Source organism: Homo sapiens, chromosome 11, assembly GCF_000001405.40.
Source record: "Homo sapiens chromosome 11, GRCh38.p14 Primary Assembly".
NCBI lineage: Eukaryota > Metazoa > Chordata > Mammalia > Primates > Hominidae > Homo > Homo sapiens.
Genome location: NC_000011.10, coordinates 55289909 through 55307339, shown reverse-complemented (window position 1 = coordinate 55307339; position 17431 = coordinate 55289909). Strand labels below are relative to the sequence as shown.

The window sequence follows — 17431 nt, the reverse complement described above, 5'->3', positions numbered from 1 at the left end:
TAAATTTGTTTTATTTTATATTTTCAAGGCGCACAATATGTCATTTTGAGATACATGTGCATAAGGAAATGATCACTATAATGAAGAAAATTAACAAATCGATCATATCACTTAGCTCTGCTTCTTCTTGATGATAAGAACACCAAAAATCTAGTCCCTCAGAATATTTCCCAAAAACAATACAAGATTATCTAATATACCTACAGGTTGTACATCAGATTCATTTATTCTACATTACTGCACCTTTACAACTTTTGCCCTTCATTTACCTATTTTCTTCCCACCAATATAACCACCTTTTTGAATGTATTAAACTTATAAAAATAGATTTCAAATATGAGTGGGACCATGAAGTATTTTTTCTCTGTGTGTCTGTCTTATTTCACTTAGGAAACCTACCATTTACATGTCTCCTAAATTTAGTACAGAAATAAAGTGCTAGCCAAGAATGTGTCTCTGTTTTGTTAGATTAATTTTTTTCCAAGTTATCCTCTTTATCAATTTTTACTTTTTGTACCATAGAAGAGTGAAAATTCTTGTATTAAAAAAAACTGTAACCAGGCTATTGATAAATAACTTCTTTTAGGGATAAAAATCTCAGGAAGTTCAAGATTTATGTATTAATGATTGACAATGTTCTTAGTGTTCTCTCTTTGATTTATTTCAATTGTAAGTAAGTCTTGGTGATATTCTAACATAAATTCTGATAGGTGAAGAGAATAAATAAAGTAAGTATCTCTAGGAGAATCAATATGATAAGATTATCTTGGTTAAATGGCTAAGAAAATATGGTAAATAGACACAAAAACTGTTTCATCTTCCAAAATCAGAGTCAAATACTAAGTGATCGTAGAGTAGCTAATTCTGTCTTTCTGCCAAAGTGAATCTGAGCTAAAGTAGAAGAATGTCAGGAATAAATTTTTCCTTGAAATCTAGCAACAAATAATGTAATTAAATTTTGAGGCTTTGATTGTTGCATAGAGTTTTAGCATCAACAGAAAAGCTCGCAAAACATAGGTGACAATCAAAAAGGAGTGCTGGGTTGGAGACCTAAGGTGAGTAATTTTATCATCTCAGATCACTTGGAAAAAAGCAGCGAGTCCAAAAGAAGCTGGTAATAAGCTTTCTCTCTGCTAAGCCCTAATCTTCTGCATGAAATATGTGGAGGCAGAAGAGAGACAGTTTATTATAGTCTACGTGGCATAGAGTGAAGGAATAAGAGAATATTTCTGATAAGTATTTTCAAAATTTGGAGAATCATTCCTATCCAAATCGTTCATTTAAGGGACTAAATCACAAATAAGATGTTTCTTGCCACATAAGCCTCAGCTAGCCAGGCTCTAAAAAGGACAACACTGGACACCTCGACAGTGGTAAAAAGCAGGGTTTACTCACTCTTGAGTAACTAAGAACTGGTGCTAACCTTAGGCAGCAGCTTATCTATTTGGTTGAGGTTCAGCTTTGTTTCATTGAACAAATCTCTTGGGTTATTCTCAGTTGTGCCAGTCATTTAATTTGTTCTGAATTAAATGATAAGAATAAATATGGCTTAGAGTGCAAACAGCATTCCCAGATACATTACAACTTGGTGTCCCATCTGCCTAATTTTGAACCTATAGGACGGGAATAAAAGCATTGTGAGAAACACCAGGTGATTTCCTTAAAGCCAAATACTCTTCTCCCTCCTACTTTTCTTCCGGCTTTCGTGCTGCATGGGACATGGCAATAAATTGGAGTTTCCTGCACACAGAGGTAAAATTCACTTGTTGAAGATGTCAGTCTTCTTCTTGACCAACTCCTATATTGGTACAAACATGTTAGAGAAATGCACCTTCTGAATCATTTCTAAGTCAGTAATATATTTTGGGGTGTTTAACATGTATAAAATAATGAGTGATTCATTTACATTTAGGTTAATTTGAGGACATGGCAAGATCAGAAGTTTTGGGAATCTAGGCTCACATTAATAATATTTTGAGGTCACCTCATTTGGGTAATAGGTTCTGGGAAAGATGACTGAGTAGGTTATTTGAAGCTACCACAGAGCATGGACTTTCTGGGCCTCTTCTCCCTTCACTCCTGGAGAGAATGTCTTCAAGACTCAGACTTTACCAGGACATTAATTAATGACAAAACGACTCACTGGGTTTTTCATTACAGAAGAGATAGAAAATGCTTTCCAGATGGTAAGGAAATAATATCTTTAGAAACTGACTCCAAATTTCACACTGAACTTAGTGAAAGGTGCATCTTGTGAAATGTCCTACATATTTCTGTTTTTCTTACAGGGTTTTGGAGACATATTACACAGGTGAGTATTTACCTAGATTTTAGCATATATTCTTTCAGTTTCCATGAATATCAAAGCAGGCTCTACCAAAGTCATGGCATAAATGATTAAGATATTGATACTACCTTTTTTTTTGCATCTGCTTTCACTCTCACACCAAAAAAGACAAGAACACTAAATAAATAAATAAATAAATAAATAAATAAATAAATAGTGAAATAAAAAAATGTTTATTACTGATTTTGTTTTATTGCTTAAAAGCCTGCATAGGTGAAAGATAAAGTTTTATTTTCTGGATGGTGAGAAAGTCACCAGAGGAAGCAGGAGAGAAGTGGGGGAAGAATTTTAGCAGTGAAAAAGTTGATGATTTGTTGTTCATACCTACATACATATCAGTTAACAGTCCTGAAAAATAGGTTGAAAAAACTGTAGAGTGTTAGAACTGTATAAGTCTCTAGGGAAGCTTGTTTCTAAAAGGCAGGTCTAGCTGCTTAGAACAAGTTTCACATTCTTTATCTTGAAAAGGAAGCAGCAGATGCAGCAGTCTCCCCAGAACCCAGCTATTTCAGACAAAGATGTCAGTGGAGTCTGCCAAGAAGTGGAACTCAGAATTTCATTTCTAAATATTCTCAAGGCCATAAGGCTAAGGATACTTACACATGTGGGGCAGAAAAAAAGAAAGATCAGACTGAATTCTGACTCAGACTCTCCCACTATGCTTTAAAATTTGGAAACTGTAAATAGAAATTAATTCCAAAAAGGAAGGAATAATTTTTGAATAATCAAATTTGTTGATTCAAAGGATTCTCATGAACTGTATTTTAAATAGAAATAGTTATTTTTATTTATTTTATGGCTGTAGATGTTGTAACTGCAGGTTTTTCCTTGCAGGAGTGAGTCCGTGCTGCTGCACATGCCCCAGCCTCTGAATCTAGAGCTCAGGGCAGGGCCCATCACTGGACTGAGGGACAGGCTCATGCAATTCTGAGGTAAGTCTCCACCCATAGGTAGCAATCCCACTATCTAAATATTATTATTGTTAGGACCACATAGGTAATATTTCACCCTTTATCAAATATTTTACTTTTTTATAGACGTAAGTGGACAACATAATCATGCAACCCTTCTGTATCTGTGTCTGTACAGTCAGATTTATAGCATTAAGTTTGAAAGATAGTGAAAAACAAATACATTTTGGCCTCATATGTACTGAGTAATGTAATGGGAAAAAGGAGTAGTGTAGCAAATTTAAAAAAGGAGCAAATTGAACAATGCTCAGAATGAAGGTGAGTTATTTAATGTTAAATACAAAATTTTACGTTTCCTTAGTGTATTCATTTGAACAGCTAAGAACTGTTGTTTTGGGGATTATGGTTTACTGGGGATTGCTGGGGGTTTTTAATTTTTTAAATGGATATGTATCATGAATTGCCAAAAAAAAATTAGTTAATGGGTCAACATAAAAAGAAGAAATCATTTTGTGAATACAAGTAAAATTACAAACAAAAAGAAGTTCAGTTTAATTGCAATATGAAAAGCTACAGGTTAAGTTTAAAATCCAGCTTCAGCCCCAAGCTAGCATGGAGGACCACAGAGAGACTGGTAAAAGATTTTACAGAAATCTGCTTTAAATTGTCACTTATGACATGTACTTACGGATTTTTATCCAGTCATCAAGAGCAGTTCTTGAGTAACTGAAAATCTTCACATTCTTTCCAAAATGATAGCACTAGTTTTTAAGAATAAGAAACATTTCTAAATAATGATCTTGATAACAGCATAGCATTTAGGGCATATAATGTGCAAATTTTGCTTTGAAAATTGGATTGAAAGAAGTTGGTCTTACATTTGGCTCTCAATATGTAAGTTTTCAAAACATTTTTAATATCTGTGGTTAGTGTTTTGTTTGTCTTGTAGTTAAAATTAATCATCTCTATGCTTTATTAGAAGTTACAAGCAAAATTGTCCTTGTGACTTTACATTTCCTGGTAAATTAACTTCTTGATAGAACAATTTTTGCTTATTGACACATGTCTATGCATGTTTTGTTTCTTTCTCATTTATTTATTTATTTATTTATTTTCGCAGTGGATATTACTCTGAATCATGATAAGCCAACAGTCATATCTTTCGATGTGGAGATTTGAGAAGCATGTGTATTGGATGTGACCATCCAAATCCACCCCATATCACTGCAACACCTACAAGTTTTCTTGCATGGGGTGCTCAGACTTTCACCTCTGGCAAATATTACTGGGAGGTCCATGTGGGGTACTCTAGGAATTAGGCTTTTGGTGTCTGTTATAAGTATTGGAAAGGGAAGAATCAGAATGACCATATATATGGAGAGGAGGGACTCTTTAGTCTTGGATGTGTCAAGAACATCATTCAGTGCAGTCTCTTTACCACCTCCCCACTTACACTGCAATATATCGCAAGACCTACCAGCCACATAGGATTATTCCTGGATTGTGAAGCCAGAACTGTGAGCTTCCTTGATGTTAATCAAAGCTGCCTTATATACGCCAACCCTAATTGTGCCTTCTCACCTCCTCTCAGGCCTATCTTTCGGTGTATTCACCTCTGACCAGAGATAAATCAGAAATGTGTTCATCTGCTGTGAGAACCCCTTTATTCCAGAAAGCTCTCTTCCTTGTGCCTTATCAAACAGGACAAATAGGTTCTGTTTTATGTCTCGAATTGCCTCCTAATGTTATTAAAACTCATTTATTGTGTTACTATTAAAAATGGTAAAAACACCAAAAGTATATGTATTGGTTCTTTATTAATTTTTGAAAAACCATTATTCATGATCATGGCATAAAATATATTCTGGTTTTTTTCTTCATTTCTGAATGCCACTGAGTGAAATAATAGATGACAGACATGTCTGAATGGAGTTAAAATCAATGGAAGAGAATTGGGATCTTTTGCTTCATGCAAAACTTGGAGTGAAGTCTTAATGATAGCTGGGAAATGTTTTTCTTTCTCTTTACCTAACTATACTGCACTTATCCATCACATTTCATTTTACTAATCTATCCTTTGAGTTAATATTATTTGACCTTCCATGCTGGGCTTCATTTTGGAATTCTCACCACATAGATAAATAATCCCGCATTATTAGTGTGCTCTTCTACATTGAAATACACAAGGTGGTCAGAACAATGCTGGATTAATTGAATTTTAAAAAATAACTAAATATTGACTCCTACCTCAAAACACACACAGTCATTTCCAAATAGATTCCAGTTCTGAAGGTAAGGGGAACATGATACAATATTCTCATAAGGATTTCTTAACCAGGACAAAAATTAACAATTAAAAAAATTAGTTGGTTTATATTAATGACGACTTCTGTGTTTCAAAAAACATGATACAAGAATTGAAATGCAAACAATTAGTGGAGAAAGATATTCACCCGAACATATATAAAATAAAATACAATACATGTGCATGATGAATACTTAAAATGTATTTTAAGTATTTTTCCAGATTCTTCCAGAGTGGCATAGAATAAACTTGGATGGCAGAGTCAATGATGAGATTAGCTGTGGAAATGGGAAACCGTTTTTTGGAGGACAGTAGTAATGCTGTGAACTTATGAAAACAACCAAGTATTCAGTAGCAACTAAAATGTGTCTCCATAAGATCATTTTACAGATGCATATCTGAAATCTGAAATTTGGGAGAACATTCTACTAGTGTTCTCTAGTGAAGAAATACAGCTGGAAGGAAGAAGGGAGGGAAGATGAAGGACAGAGAAATAGAGCGCAGTTGAGAGAAAATGCTATTTAGACTAAAATAGAATACTGGGGATACCACAACAAAGTGCTTAAGGTGTGTCTTATGGAGCAGAAATGGCAGAAAATACCACAGTAAAGAGATTTACCATTGGATTGTTAGTTCCGGCTTTTATTCTGTCAATGTTGTGGCTTCTAAACACATCAGTAATCTCCTTTGATCCATGTGCTAATTAACAACCAACACTCTGCCCCCTCTTCCAGATTCTTCCATCGTTTTAAACCTAATCTAATTCTAATCCAGCTGGTCACTGTAACACATGTAATCACCTAAGAATTTTAAAAATATTTTTGATGAATAAATGAAAAATTAGCTAGGTGCAATGGCATAAACCTCTAGTCTTTTTTACTTTGAAAGCTGAAGTGGGAGGATTACTTGAGCCCTGGAATTCAAGGCTGCGGTGAGCTAAGATTGCGCCACTGCACTCCAGAGGCTGAAACTTTCTTTGGTATAAATAAATAAATAAATGTGCACTTAGAGGAATGCTTGTGTCTTTGGAAGAAATTCAGGAAACAGCATTAATCAATTTCAGTCAATTTCTAGCATGTTTACTCTGATAAGATTGATGATAGATATGCCTCATTCAGGCAGTGGTTTTTACAATGATAGTGTGATGCTAATTTAATCAGTGATGAAAAGGCATGTACTACATATTGCATAAACCTAATCATCTCTGTCTCCACCTTTCTTAACACCCTAAATATCACTAAATAGGTGGTTGTGGTCTTCAAAGATTCACCTAAATGGATGTAGAAGAGACAAGCTCATATTTCTCCAGAGGAGGACAGCACTTAGAGTTAACTGCGTTCAGGTGATGACCTCTGAAAGTCAACTCAGCAGGGAATGAGCTCCTGATCTTGGGGAGTACTTAAAAGAATTTTTTCTTGGAAGAATTACTGCAGGAAACATTCATAGAACCTTGGGGTGAGTGCAACTTCTATGGAGAAAATTACTTCTCTCTTCCTTTAAAATAGTAAATTACAGTGATAAAAATATCTAACTGTCTAAACTTACTGAATGATCTTATTTGTAACTCATATTATTGCTATTCATTTTATGACATGAGGTTATTAATTGTTGTCATTTTGTATGTTCCAAAAGTGTTTAATATATTTTTGAAAAATTTTAGATATCTAGTGTTTGCTGCAATATATATGTATGAATCATGAATATATGGAATTCACATTAAAACATATATATGTGTACTGAATGTACTAATATTGCTACACTTAATTAAGTAAAAAAGGATAATTATTGAATACTGTAAATGTTGTGCTTTCATAACCTGAAGCTTTTAGACATGATTTTAAGCTACTGAGGCAATGATGAGTTAAAAATGGTGATACTAAAGGAAATAAGAATGCTCCCAAAAATACCTTAGCTTAGAAATCAAAACACAATTGTTTAGCAGATAACTGTATAAGGAATGATTTGATACTTGATACTAGTTGTCATTTTAACTGAGGCTTACCTCAGATGAAACTATGAAAAATTCCTTGAAATGGCTCAGATGACCTCTGAAAAATGTTTGCAATTCTTAAATTTTCACTGTTGGCACTTAAATTCAGCAGTGTTTAGTAAAAGAGAGTAAGGTAAAGGACTTCAAACTGCCAAGGCAAAGATTACATTTTGTATTGGTCAGGGTTCTCCAGAGAGACAGAACCATAGGATGTGTTCATAACTATATATATATATATATATATATATATATATATATATATCTCAAAAATACTTACAATTGTGGTACAATTGCCTTCGTATACCATACAGGTTTGTAGCCTAGGAACAATATGCTATATTATATACCATAGGTGTGTAGTAGGCTATACCATCTAGGTTTGTGTAAGTATACCCTATGATGTTCAAACAATAACGAGACTGTCTAATGCGTCCCTCAGATCATATATCTGTCCTCACTCTACACATGACACTGTACAGGAGAGGAAGTCCACTAGGGGAATTTGTTCCCTTGATTATGAAGTCTGAGAAGTTGAACATAGGCTGTCATTAATGTTGTGTCCTGGAGATACCGATTTCCTGGCTGAGTTAGAATCAGCTTCAAGAGAAGGAGAGGAAACTGCTTTCTCTCTGCCCTTTATCTTCAGTCTGAGCTACCAGCTGATTGGATAGTGTCCACCCACATTGAGGGCTGCTGTTCCTCACTCAGCTCACCAACTTACATGTCTCTCTGGAAACACCTTCACAGACTCACCCAGAAATAATGCTTTACCAATTCTCCATGTATTATTTAGTCCAGTCAAGTCAACACTTAAAATTAACCATAATACCATAGTAATATAACTGTATATATTTCAGTTTTTAAAAAACTGACTATATGTCAGTTCATAGTTTGAGTAGCCCAAAAAGAAGTTAATTTAAGCCATAAGAAAAATAAACCCAATATTTTTCATTATTTATTTTATCTCCTTGTGATCCTAGACTGGTTTAATTGCTGTCTTTTTGTTTATCTGGTCGGTTGGTTTGTTCTGGGGTTGTTTTTGTTTTAAAGAGCCGGCTTCTGGGTCTCTCTCTCTAAAAATATGTCATAGCGCCCTCGGACCATCTTCTCATGTTTTGTTACCCAATGTAGGTTTTCTACTCCTCTCCCATAGTCATTCAGTAGTTATTTGAAAGAGAAATAGGGACAAGCAGGTTTTATTCTAGACCACTTAAGATTAAAACTCGAGTTTCATATCGACATCCAGGGAATAGGTTTTTGAACAGGTTTGCATTATGTTATGGGCAGGAACTAGGAGTAGAAGAGGTTGTGAGTCATCCAGTCAGTAGTGTCTGCTAAAAAGCCTGAAGACTCTCTTCGTGTATGAATTTTTCATTTTTGTTACAGAGGAAATAGTTTGTTCCACTTTAATGAGCACTGTCAAGAAGAAAATATAGCTATCACGTATCACCACATGTTCACAGATTTTCACCAAGCCAGACCCCAAAATGACATGCTGCTCTTTCTTCTTCAGAAACATGAATTCTGGAATCTTGCAAGTCTTCCAGAGGGAACTCACCTGTCCCATCTGCATGAACTACTTCCTAGACCCAGTCACCATAGACTGTGGGCACAGCTTTTGCCGGCCCTGTTTCTACCTCAACTGGCAAGACATGGCAGTTGTTGCTCAGTGCTCTAAATGCAAGGAGACAACATGGCAGAGAAACCTCAACACTGACATTTGTTTGAAGAACATGGCTTCCATTGCCAGAAAAGCCAGCCTCCGGCAATTCCTTAGCTCTGAAGAGCAAATATGTGGGATGCACAGAGAGACAAAGAAGATGTTCTGTGAAGTGGACAAGAGCCTGCTCTGTTTGCTGTATTCCAACTCTCAGGAGCACCGGAATCACAGACACTGTCCCATTGAGTGGGCTGCTGAGGAACGCCGGGTAAGTGATGCCTCTGAAGATCTATTTCTATACAGGACACATGAAATTCTTGTAAGTCTATTTCCTTGGAGATTGGATGATGCCATCTCTGTGTCCCCTTAAGCATGTCTGTTATGAGCTTCCTTGACTTCACACTTCTCACGTTTGACAAACATGAGGAGAAACAAAGCAAACTCTATTTTCTGTGGGCTAATTTGTCTCTCATTTGGGGTCCTTCATATATGAGAGTGTGAATGATACTTTATTGTCCTCACTTGTGCTTCAATTCATGGCTCTTTTTCAGGAGGAGCTCCTAAAAAAAAATGCAGTCTTTGTGGGAAAAAGCTTGTGAAAATCTCAGAAACCTGAACATGGAAACCACCAGAACAAGATGCTGGAAGGTTAGTACCGTATTACTCTACCTTCTCCGGGAACTTATAGTGAACAAATGGGTGACTCTTAAAATCGGAACTTGATCTCAACCCATAACCTTTCCGGAATTCAATAAACAAGGAAAAAACACTTGAGAAAAAAACACCCTAATTGCTTATATAAGTTAGTGTGACTCTTTGGTAGGATTTCTAATCAGACCACAGATGTTACCCAAGCATGCTCATCTGTTTCCATACAAACCTATAGGAATACCCCAACAAATACAAGAAACTGGGCCATTTCACACTGTTCCCAATGGGCTGCCTGGATAAATTCTGGACACAAGAGTTATTTGTCAGTCATGGAAATTTCAGGTGACCCTTCTAAGGCTGAGTCAGTAGGAATTTGAATCCTGGTGGGCAAGTACATTGAAATGTGAGCTAAATTTCAGGCAGAAGGAGCAAGAGTGCAACCTTAGGGAAAGCATGAAATGAAATATCAGCACTAATTAATATTGAATAAGTCATAACACATAACGGGAAATGTGGCGAGAAATGTAGACTGGTGTCTTGATGAAGACAGAAATATGTGAGAAACATGGGAACTAGTATTTAATATAAGGAGAACTCTAAGGACTTGAGAAGAATTCTAGAAATGATTTTCTCTTTGTGGATGTTTATATTGAGGGTATGATATCTAATATTACTTCATTAATTTATTCTAATATTAATTCATTGAAAGATATTTTATGAGTACCTAGTCTATGTCAAATATCAACTTAGAAAATTAAGGTGTAAAGAAGAAAGAAAACACACAAATCATGCCATGGAAATGAGAAAAGCAAATGGTCACCATGCAGATATGTGAAGTACATGATGTGTTAGAGTGTAGTAGTGTCTTTGGAGAATAATCCAAAGGAGCACAGAGGCCAGGGACTGGGGATGAGGGTTTGAGTTTTAAATAGGGTGGTCAGAAAAAAAGGCTCATGGAAAAATTCACACTGAAACAAAATCTTGATCAGGAGGAAATATGTATATCCTCCTGTTTACCTTCCTCTTCCTCGTAAATATATGAATATATATGAGTATCTGGGTGTTGGTATATATATATATGGATATATTTGAGGAACATATATATACACACACATACATGTATATATTCCTCATATATCCATATATACCTTTATTTGAGAAATATATATATGAGCACATATATGAGAAACATGTATATATATATGAAAATAATTCTAGGTATAGAAAACAGCATGTGCAGTAATATTTAATTTGCATTTATTTGGGGCTTTGAGGAACCACAAAGAAGTCCATGTTGCCAATTAGGGTGAGTTTGGAAGAGAATAAATGAAACCTTATTAGAATATGTTATGCTGGGTGAAATGCATTGAGTTGACAATGCTAGTCTGGGTCATGTCATCATTTGTCATATAATGGTTTTACATAACTTGCCCCAATTCTCCAAAATAGAAATAATGGTTTCTTACCTAGTCAATATAACTCAATAGTTTGATTCTTAAGCAAGAACTGTGTTTTCTTTCTATAAATGTGGTGTGAAAGAGAGAAATCCATTTTTATATAACTATCTTAGAAAACATTTTATCATTAATCAAGTAAATGTAACTGGGCAGAAACAACTATGTTGATATTAGTACAGAAAAAAAGGAAAGGAATAAAATTTTGTGGAATCTGAGAATTAACAAGATTGAGGATTAAAATATTGGGTTTTCAGAATGCTAAGAGGAATCAGTGAAATTCAAGAGAAGATGGATAAAACATTTCTATTTTGACTAATTGTCACTGCAGGATTATGTGAGTTTAAGGATAGAAGCAATCAGAGCTGAATATCAGAAGATGCCTGCATTTCTCCATGAAGAAAAACAACAACATTTGGAGAGGCTGTGAAAGGAGGGCGAGGACATTTTTCAGCAACTCAATGAAAGCAAAGCCAGAATGGAACATTCCAGGGAGCTTTTAAGAGGAATGTATGAGGATCTGAAGAAAATGTGCCATAAAGCAGATGTGGAGCTACTCTAGTACGAACTGACCATGGGGTATCATGATGATGAAGATTCACGTGCATGGGTGTTTTTCCTCTCTCCTGAAATCCGTCTCCCCCTTTACTTCCATGATTTGTTTCCAAAAACACGATTTGATAACTAATGCTACTTGGTTGGGAGGGTATAGCCTCTCCTAGTGATTCTACCAGAACGAAGGTCCCTCCTACTTTATCCACCAGCAACAAAACTTTGTGGAATGACCAAGGTAACAGACAGCCCCAAGAAATATTTCCCATCAAAAGTCAGTGATTTATTTAGGATTTTTGAAAGTGGATAAAATGAGAAGTGATTCATTGGCATTTAGGCTAATTTGGAGACATGTCATGATGGAGAAGTTGGGGAATCTAGGATCACACTAATATTATTTTGGGGTCCACTCATTTTGGTAACAGGGCTTAGGGTAGATGGCTGAGTAGCTTCTTTATGGTTACAGCAGAGCATGGACTCTGTGGGCCTCCTCTCCCTTCACTTGTAAAGAGAATGTCTTCAAGACTTAGACTTTATCAGGACATTAATTCATGACATATGATAGACTGGGATTGTCATGAGAAAAGAAACAGAAAATGCTTTCCAGGAGGGAACATTGTAGGAAAATAATATCTTCAGAAACTGTCTCCATAACTCACAATGCACTTAGTTGAAGATGCATCTTGTGGAAAGCACTAAGCCTTTCTATTTTTTCTTTTTTACAGTCTTTTGGAGACATATTACAAAGGTGAGTGCATACCAAGATTTTAGCAGATGTTTTCAGTTTCCACAAATATCAAGCAGGAACTTTGATATTGAAGGTATAATTGATTCAGATATTGATACTACCTTGTGCTGGTTGTACTTTCTCCATCCCCCACCCCATGTAGTCATCTATTTTGTTGCCAGTGTTTTTATTAAGCAGTTCAATGAAAGTTCTGCAAAACCAAAAATAAATAAATAAATAAATAAATAAATAAACAAATAAATAAATAAAAAAGAAAGAGAACAAAAGATAAATAAATGAAAGAAAATAAAGGAAGTGAGCATCTCTATTCCTAATTTCCTTTTTATTGCTCAAAAGCCTTCATATTTGAAAGAGAAAATATTACATTTACTACATGGCTACAAAGTCAACCAGGGGAAGCCAGAGAGAAAAGGGGAAAGTATTTTAGCAGTGAAAAGTGTTGATGATTTCTAGTTTATATTTAAATATATAATTCTGAAAAATAGATGAAACAAACTATTCGGAATGTTTGAGCCGTGTAGGCCTCCAGAGAACCTCAACTATAAAAGGCAGATCTCCCTGCCTGGAGCACGTTTCAATACCCTGGCCTTGAGAAGGAAGAAACAGACACAGCAGTCTTAAAAATAACCCCACTTTTCCAGACAGTGATTTCAGGAATTTCTGGTGAGGTCTGGAACCCAGAATTTCATTTTGGAATATTCTCCTAGTCTTGAGACTAATGATCCTTACTAATTTGGAGCAATACGAAGAAAGATCCGAATGAATTTCTCTGTCAGAGAGACTTTTCCATCGTGCTTGAAAATGAGGAACTGTGAATAAGAATGAATTTGAAAAAGAATGATAATTTTGGAATTAGCAAATGTGTGGATTAAAGGGATTCTCATGAAATGTCTTTTAAATAAATGTGGTGATTTTTATGTATTTTTTTGGCTGTAGATGTGGTAACTCTATCTTTCTCCTTGCAGGTATGAGTCTCTGCTGCTGCAAGTGTCTGAGCCTGTGAATCCAGATTTCAGTGCAGGGCCCATCATTGGACTGATGGACAGGCTCAAGAGATTCAGAGGTGAGTGTCAGCCCATTGGCAGAATTCCCACAGTGTATTACTTCTTGTTAGAATCATGGGGGTAATATTTTACCCTTCATCAAATCTTTATTTCATTTCAGCAGGAAGTGAACCATATGACGATGCAACCCTTTTATATCTGTGTTTCTATTTATAGTCCAAATTATAACATGAAGAGTACAACATAGTGAAAAACAAATATGTTCTGGGCTCACATGGATAGAATTATACATTGGGTAAATGGAATGACATAAGAAATAAAAAATTGAATAAATGGAACAATGCTCAGAAGGAAGCGTAGTAATCCAAGGTTACATAAAAGTTTTACACTTCTTTACTGTATTTCATTTGAATTATTAAACACATTTCATTGGGGAATAGAGTTCACTGCAGTTTGTTGGAGTATTTGTACTTTCTTACAATAAATATATATTGTTGATATAATGTAAAATTTTGACTTAACATGTAAAAAGAAAGAAGAAATTATTATGTAAATAGGAAGTAAACATGGAAATAATAATTTCAGTTTAGTTACAACATGAAGAGCTACGTGTAAAATCCAAAATTCGGTTTCAGTCTAGAGCTAGCAGGGATGTCCGCAAAGTGACTAGTAGAAGATTTTGCAAAAATCTGCCTTAAGTTACCACTTATAATTTGAACATATGGACTTTTATCCAGTTATCTAGAGGGGTGCTTGAGTAAGCTAAAATCTTCCCATTCCTGCCAGAATTATGCCACTAGTATTTAAGAACAAGAAATATTTTAATAATAATGACCTTGATAGCTAAAGGGCATTCAGGGCATAAAATATTTCACTTTCACATAGGAGATTGGATTAAAACAGGCTGGTCTTATATTTGACTCTCAATTTTTAAGTTTTCAATAAATTTTCAATGTCTGTTTTTAGGGTTTTGTTCTTCCTATAGAGAATATTAATCATCCTTATACTTTATTAAATGTTGTAGTCACAGTTCTCCTGTCCTTGGAACTTCAAATTTCTTGGTAAAGTAAACTCTTGGTAGAACAACTTTTCTCTCAAGAATTCTAATTTCTATTAATTACATGTATCTATATTTTTAAAAAATTATTTTTGCAGTTGATTTTACTCTGCAGCCTGAAAGGGACAATAGTCATATCTTCCTGTATGGAGATTTGAGAAGCATGAATATTGGATGTGACCCTCAAGATGATCCCGATATCACTGCAAAATCTGAATGTTTTCTTGTATGGGGGGCTCAGACTTTCACATCTGGCAAATATTATTGGGAGGTTCACGTGGGGGACTCTTGGAATTGGGCTTTTGGTGTCTGTAACAATTATTGGAAAGAGAAGAGACAGAATGACAAGATAGATGGAGAGGAGGGACTCTTTCTTCTTGAATGTGTTAAGGAGGACACTCACTGCAGTCTCTTTACCACCTCCCCACTTGTGGTGCAATATGTTCCAAGACCTACCAGCACAGTGGGATTATTCCTGGATTGTGAAGGTAGAACCATGAGCTTTGTTGATGTTGATCAAAGTTCCCTGATATACACCATCCCTAATTGCTCCTTCTCACCTCCTCTCAGGCCTATCTTTTGCTGTAGTCACTTCTGACCAGAGAAAAGTCAGAAATGTGTCTATGTGCTCTGGGAACCTGTTTATCCCAGAAAGCCCTCTTTTCTTCACACCTCATCAAACAGAACAAATAAGTTATATTTTATGTCTTTAGTTGCATTCTAATGTCATCAAAACTCATTTATAGTGTTTCTATTAAATATGGTGAAAACACTAAAACCATGTGTATTGGTTCCTTTTTAAATCATTTTTGGAAAATCATTACCCATGATGTATGGCATAGAATATATTCTCTGGTTTTTAATTATTTCTGAATGTCACAAAGTGAAATAATAGATGACAGAGTTGTCTAAATGAAGTTAAAATCAGTGGAAGAAAGTAGAGATCTTGGGCTTCATGAAGAAACTTGGAGTAAAAAGACTCAATGGTAACCTGGAAATATTTCCTTTCTCTTCATCTAACAATATTATACTTATCCATGTGTTTTGTTTATGAACCTATTCTTTGAGGTAATCTTATTTGACATCCTATGCTGGGCTTATCTTTGTAAATCTCACCTTATATACAAAATGCTCATGCATTATTAGACTGCTGTTCCACAGTGAAATTTACAAGGGGATCAGGACAATGCTGGATCAATTAAATGTTCAAATGGACATAACTGAATACTGATCCCTACCTCAAACCATACACAGTGCATTTCCACATGGATTCATGTTCTGAAGGTGAAGGGAACACAATAAAATATTCTCACACAGAAAGATTTCCTAACCAGGACAAAAAAGGACCAATTAAGAAGAGAAATTTAGTTAGTTTACATAAAAAATGATGACTTCTGTGTTTCAAAATATACCATCCAAGAATTAAAATGCAAACCAAGAGTGGAGAAAAATATTTATCCCAACATATATGCAATAAAATATAATACATGTGATTAATGAATGTAATAAATAAAAGAAAATGAACCTAATATAAAATTGGGAAAATATTTGAACAGGCCCTTCATAAAATTGGAGGCATAAATATCTGGACCAATATGAAAAAGGGATTACTTTTATTAGTCCTCAGAATAATAAAAATTAATCCATAAGTTGAACTACAGGCCTCCATAAAAATTAGGAAAATTTAAAGACACATAATGTAGTGTGTTGTGAAAGATAAAGAATCAATGAAAGTTATTCATGGCTGGAGGGATGTAAACTGAAATACTTTTTTGGCAAACTGACTATGAGCATTCCTTATGGGCTAGATATTCTAATTCTAAAATATATTCCTCAGACTGCCTATGTGTATTTCAAAATAAACACAATGTTTTTCATTGCAGCAATTTTTTTAGTAGCTCCAAATTGGAGACAAAATGAATATTCATCAACAGTAGAATTGCTAAATAGTGATCTCATCGTACAGAAGAATTTTACAAAACAGAGATAACACTGAAATGCAACAAGTTAATGAATTTCAAAGAGAAGTTTAAGAAAAGATTTGAAACACACAAATGTTATATTACAGTGTTTTATTTAGATAAATTGTGAACTCCATTAATTGATGCTAGAAGTTAGAATATTGAATAATGTTTTCGCATGTAATGGTTAGGAAACTTAAAAATTAACCAGGATAAGATAGAGGAAGGATTGCAATCAAGGAGAGAAATTATAAGCATTTTTCAGGCAGAAGAAAATTTTATATATATATATATATATATATATATATATATATATAATTTTAACGTATACGAAGTTTGAAATAAATGAATTTGATGTTTTGCCTAATTTTTTCAAATGCATATATATATAATTTAATTTATGATAATTTAACATCAACATTAAGACATAAAACTTTTTTATTATTATACTTTAAGTTCTGGGGTACATGTGCAGAACGTTCCGGTTTGTTACATAGTTATACACGCACCATGGTGGTTTGCTGCACCCATCAACCCGTCATCTACATTAGGTAGTAATCCCAGTGATATCTCTCCCCTGGCTCCCCACCCCAGACAGGCCCCAGTGTGTGATGTTCTCCTCCCAGTGTACATGGGTTCTCATTTTTCAACTCCCACTTATGAGTGAGAACATGTGGTGTTTGGTTTTCTGTTGTTGTGTTGCTGAGAATGATGGTTTCCAGCTTCATCCATGTCCCTGAAAAGGACAAGAACTCATCCTTTTTATGGCTACATAGTATTCCACGGTGTAT

At 34.9% G+C, this 17431-nt stretch overlaps 2 pseudogenes across 1 annotated transcript; both read left to right on the top strand.

The window, feature by feature from the left end:
- On the top strand, positions 3179–5055 carry LOC100420446 (tripartite motif containing 48 pseudogene; annotated as a pseudogene).
- TRIM51HP (tripartite motif-containing 51H, pseudogene) lies at positions 9108–13637 on the top strand (annotated as a pseudogene). The gene is made up of 5 exons (NR_038174.2): positions 9108–9481; positions 9765–9861; positions 11650–12108; positions 12596–12618; positions 13584–13637. The product of NR_038174.2 is annotated as a tripartite motif-containing 51H, pseudogene (transcript).
- Positions 13638–17431: the final 3794 nt, after the last annotated feature.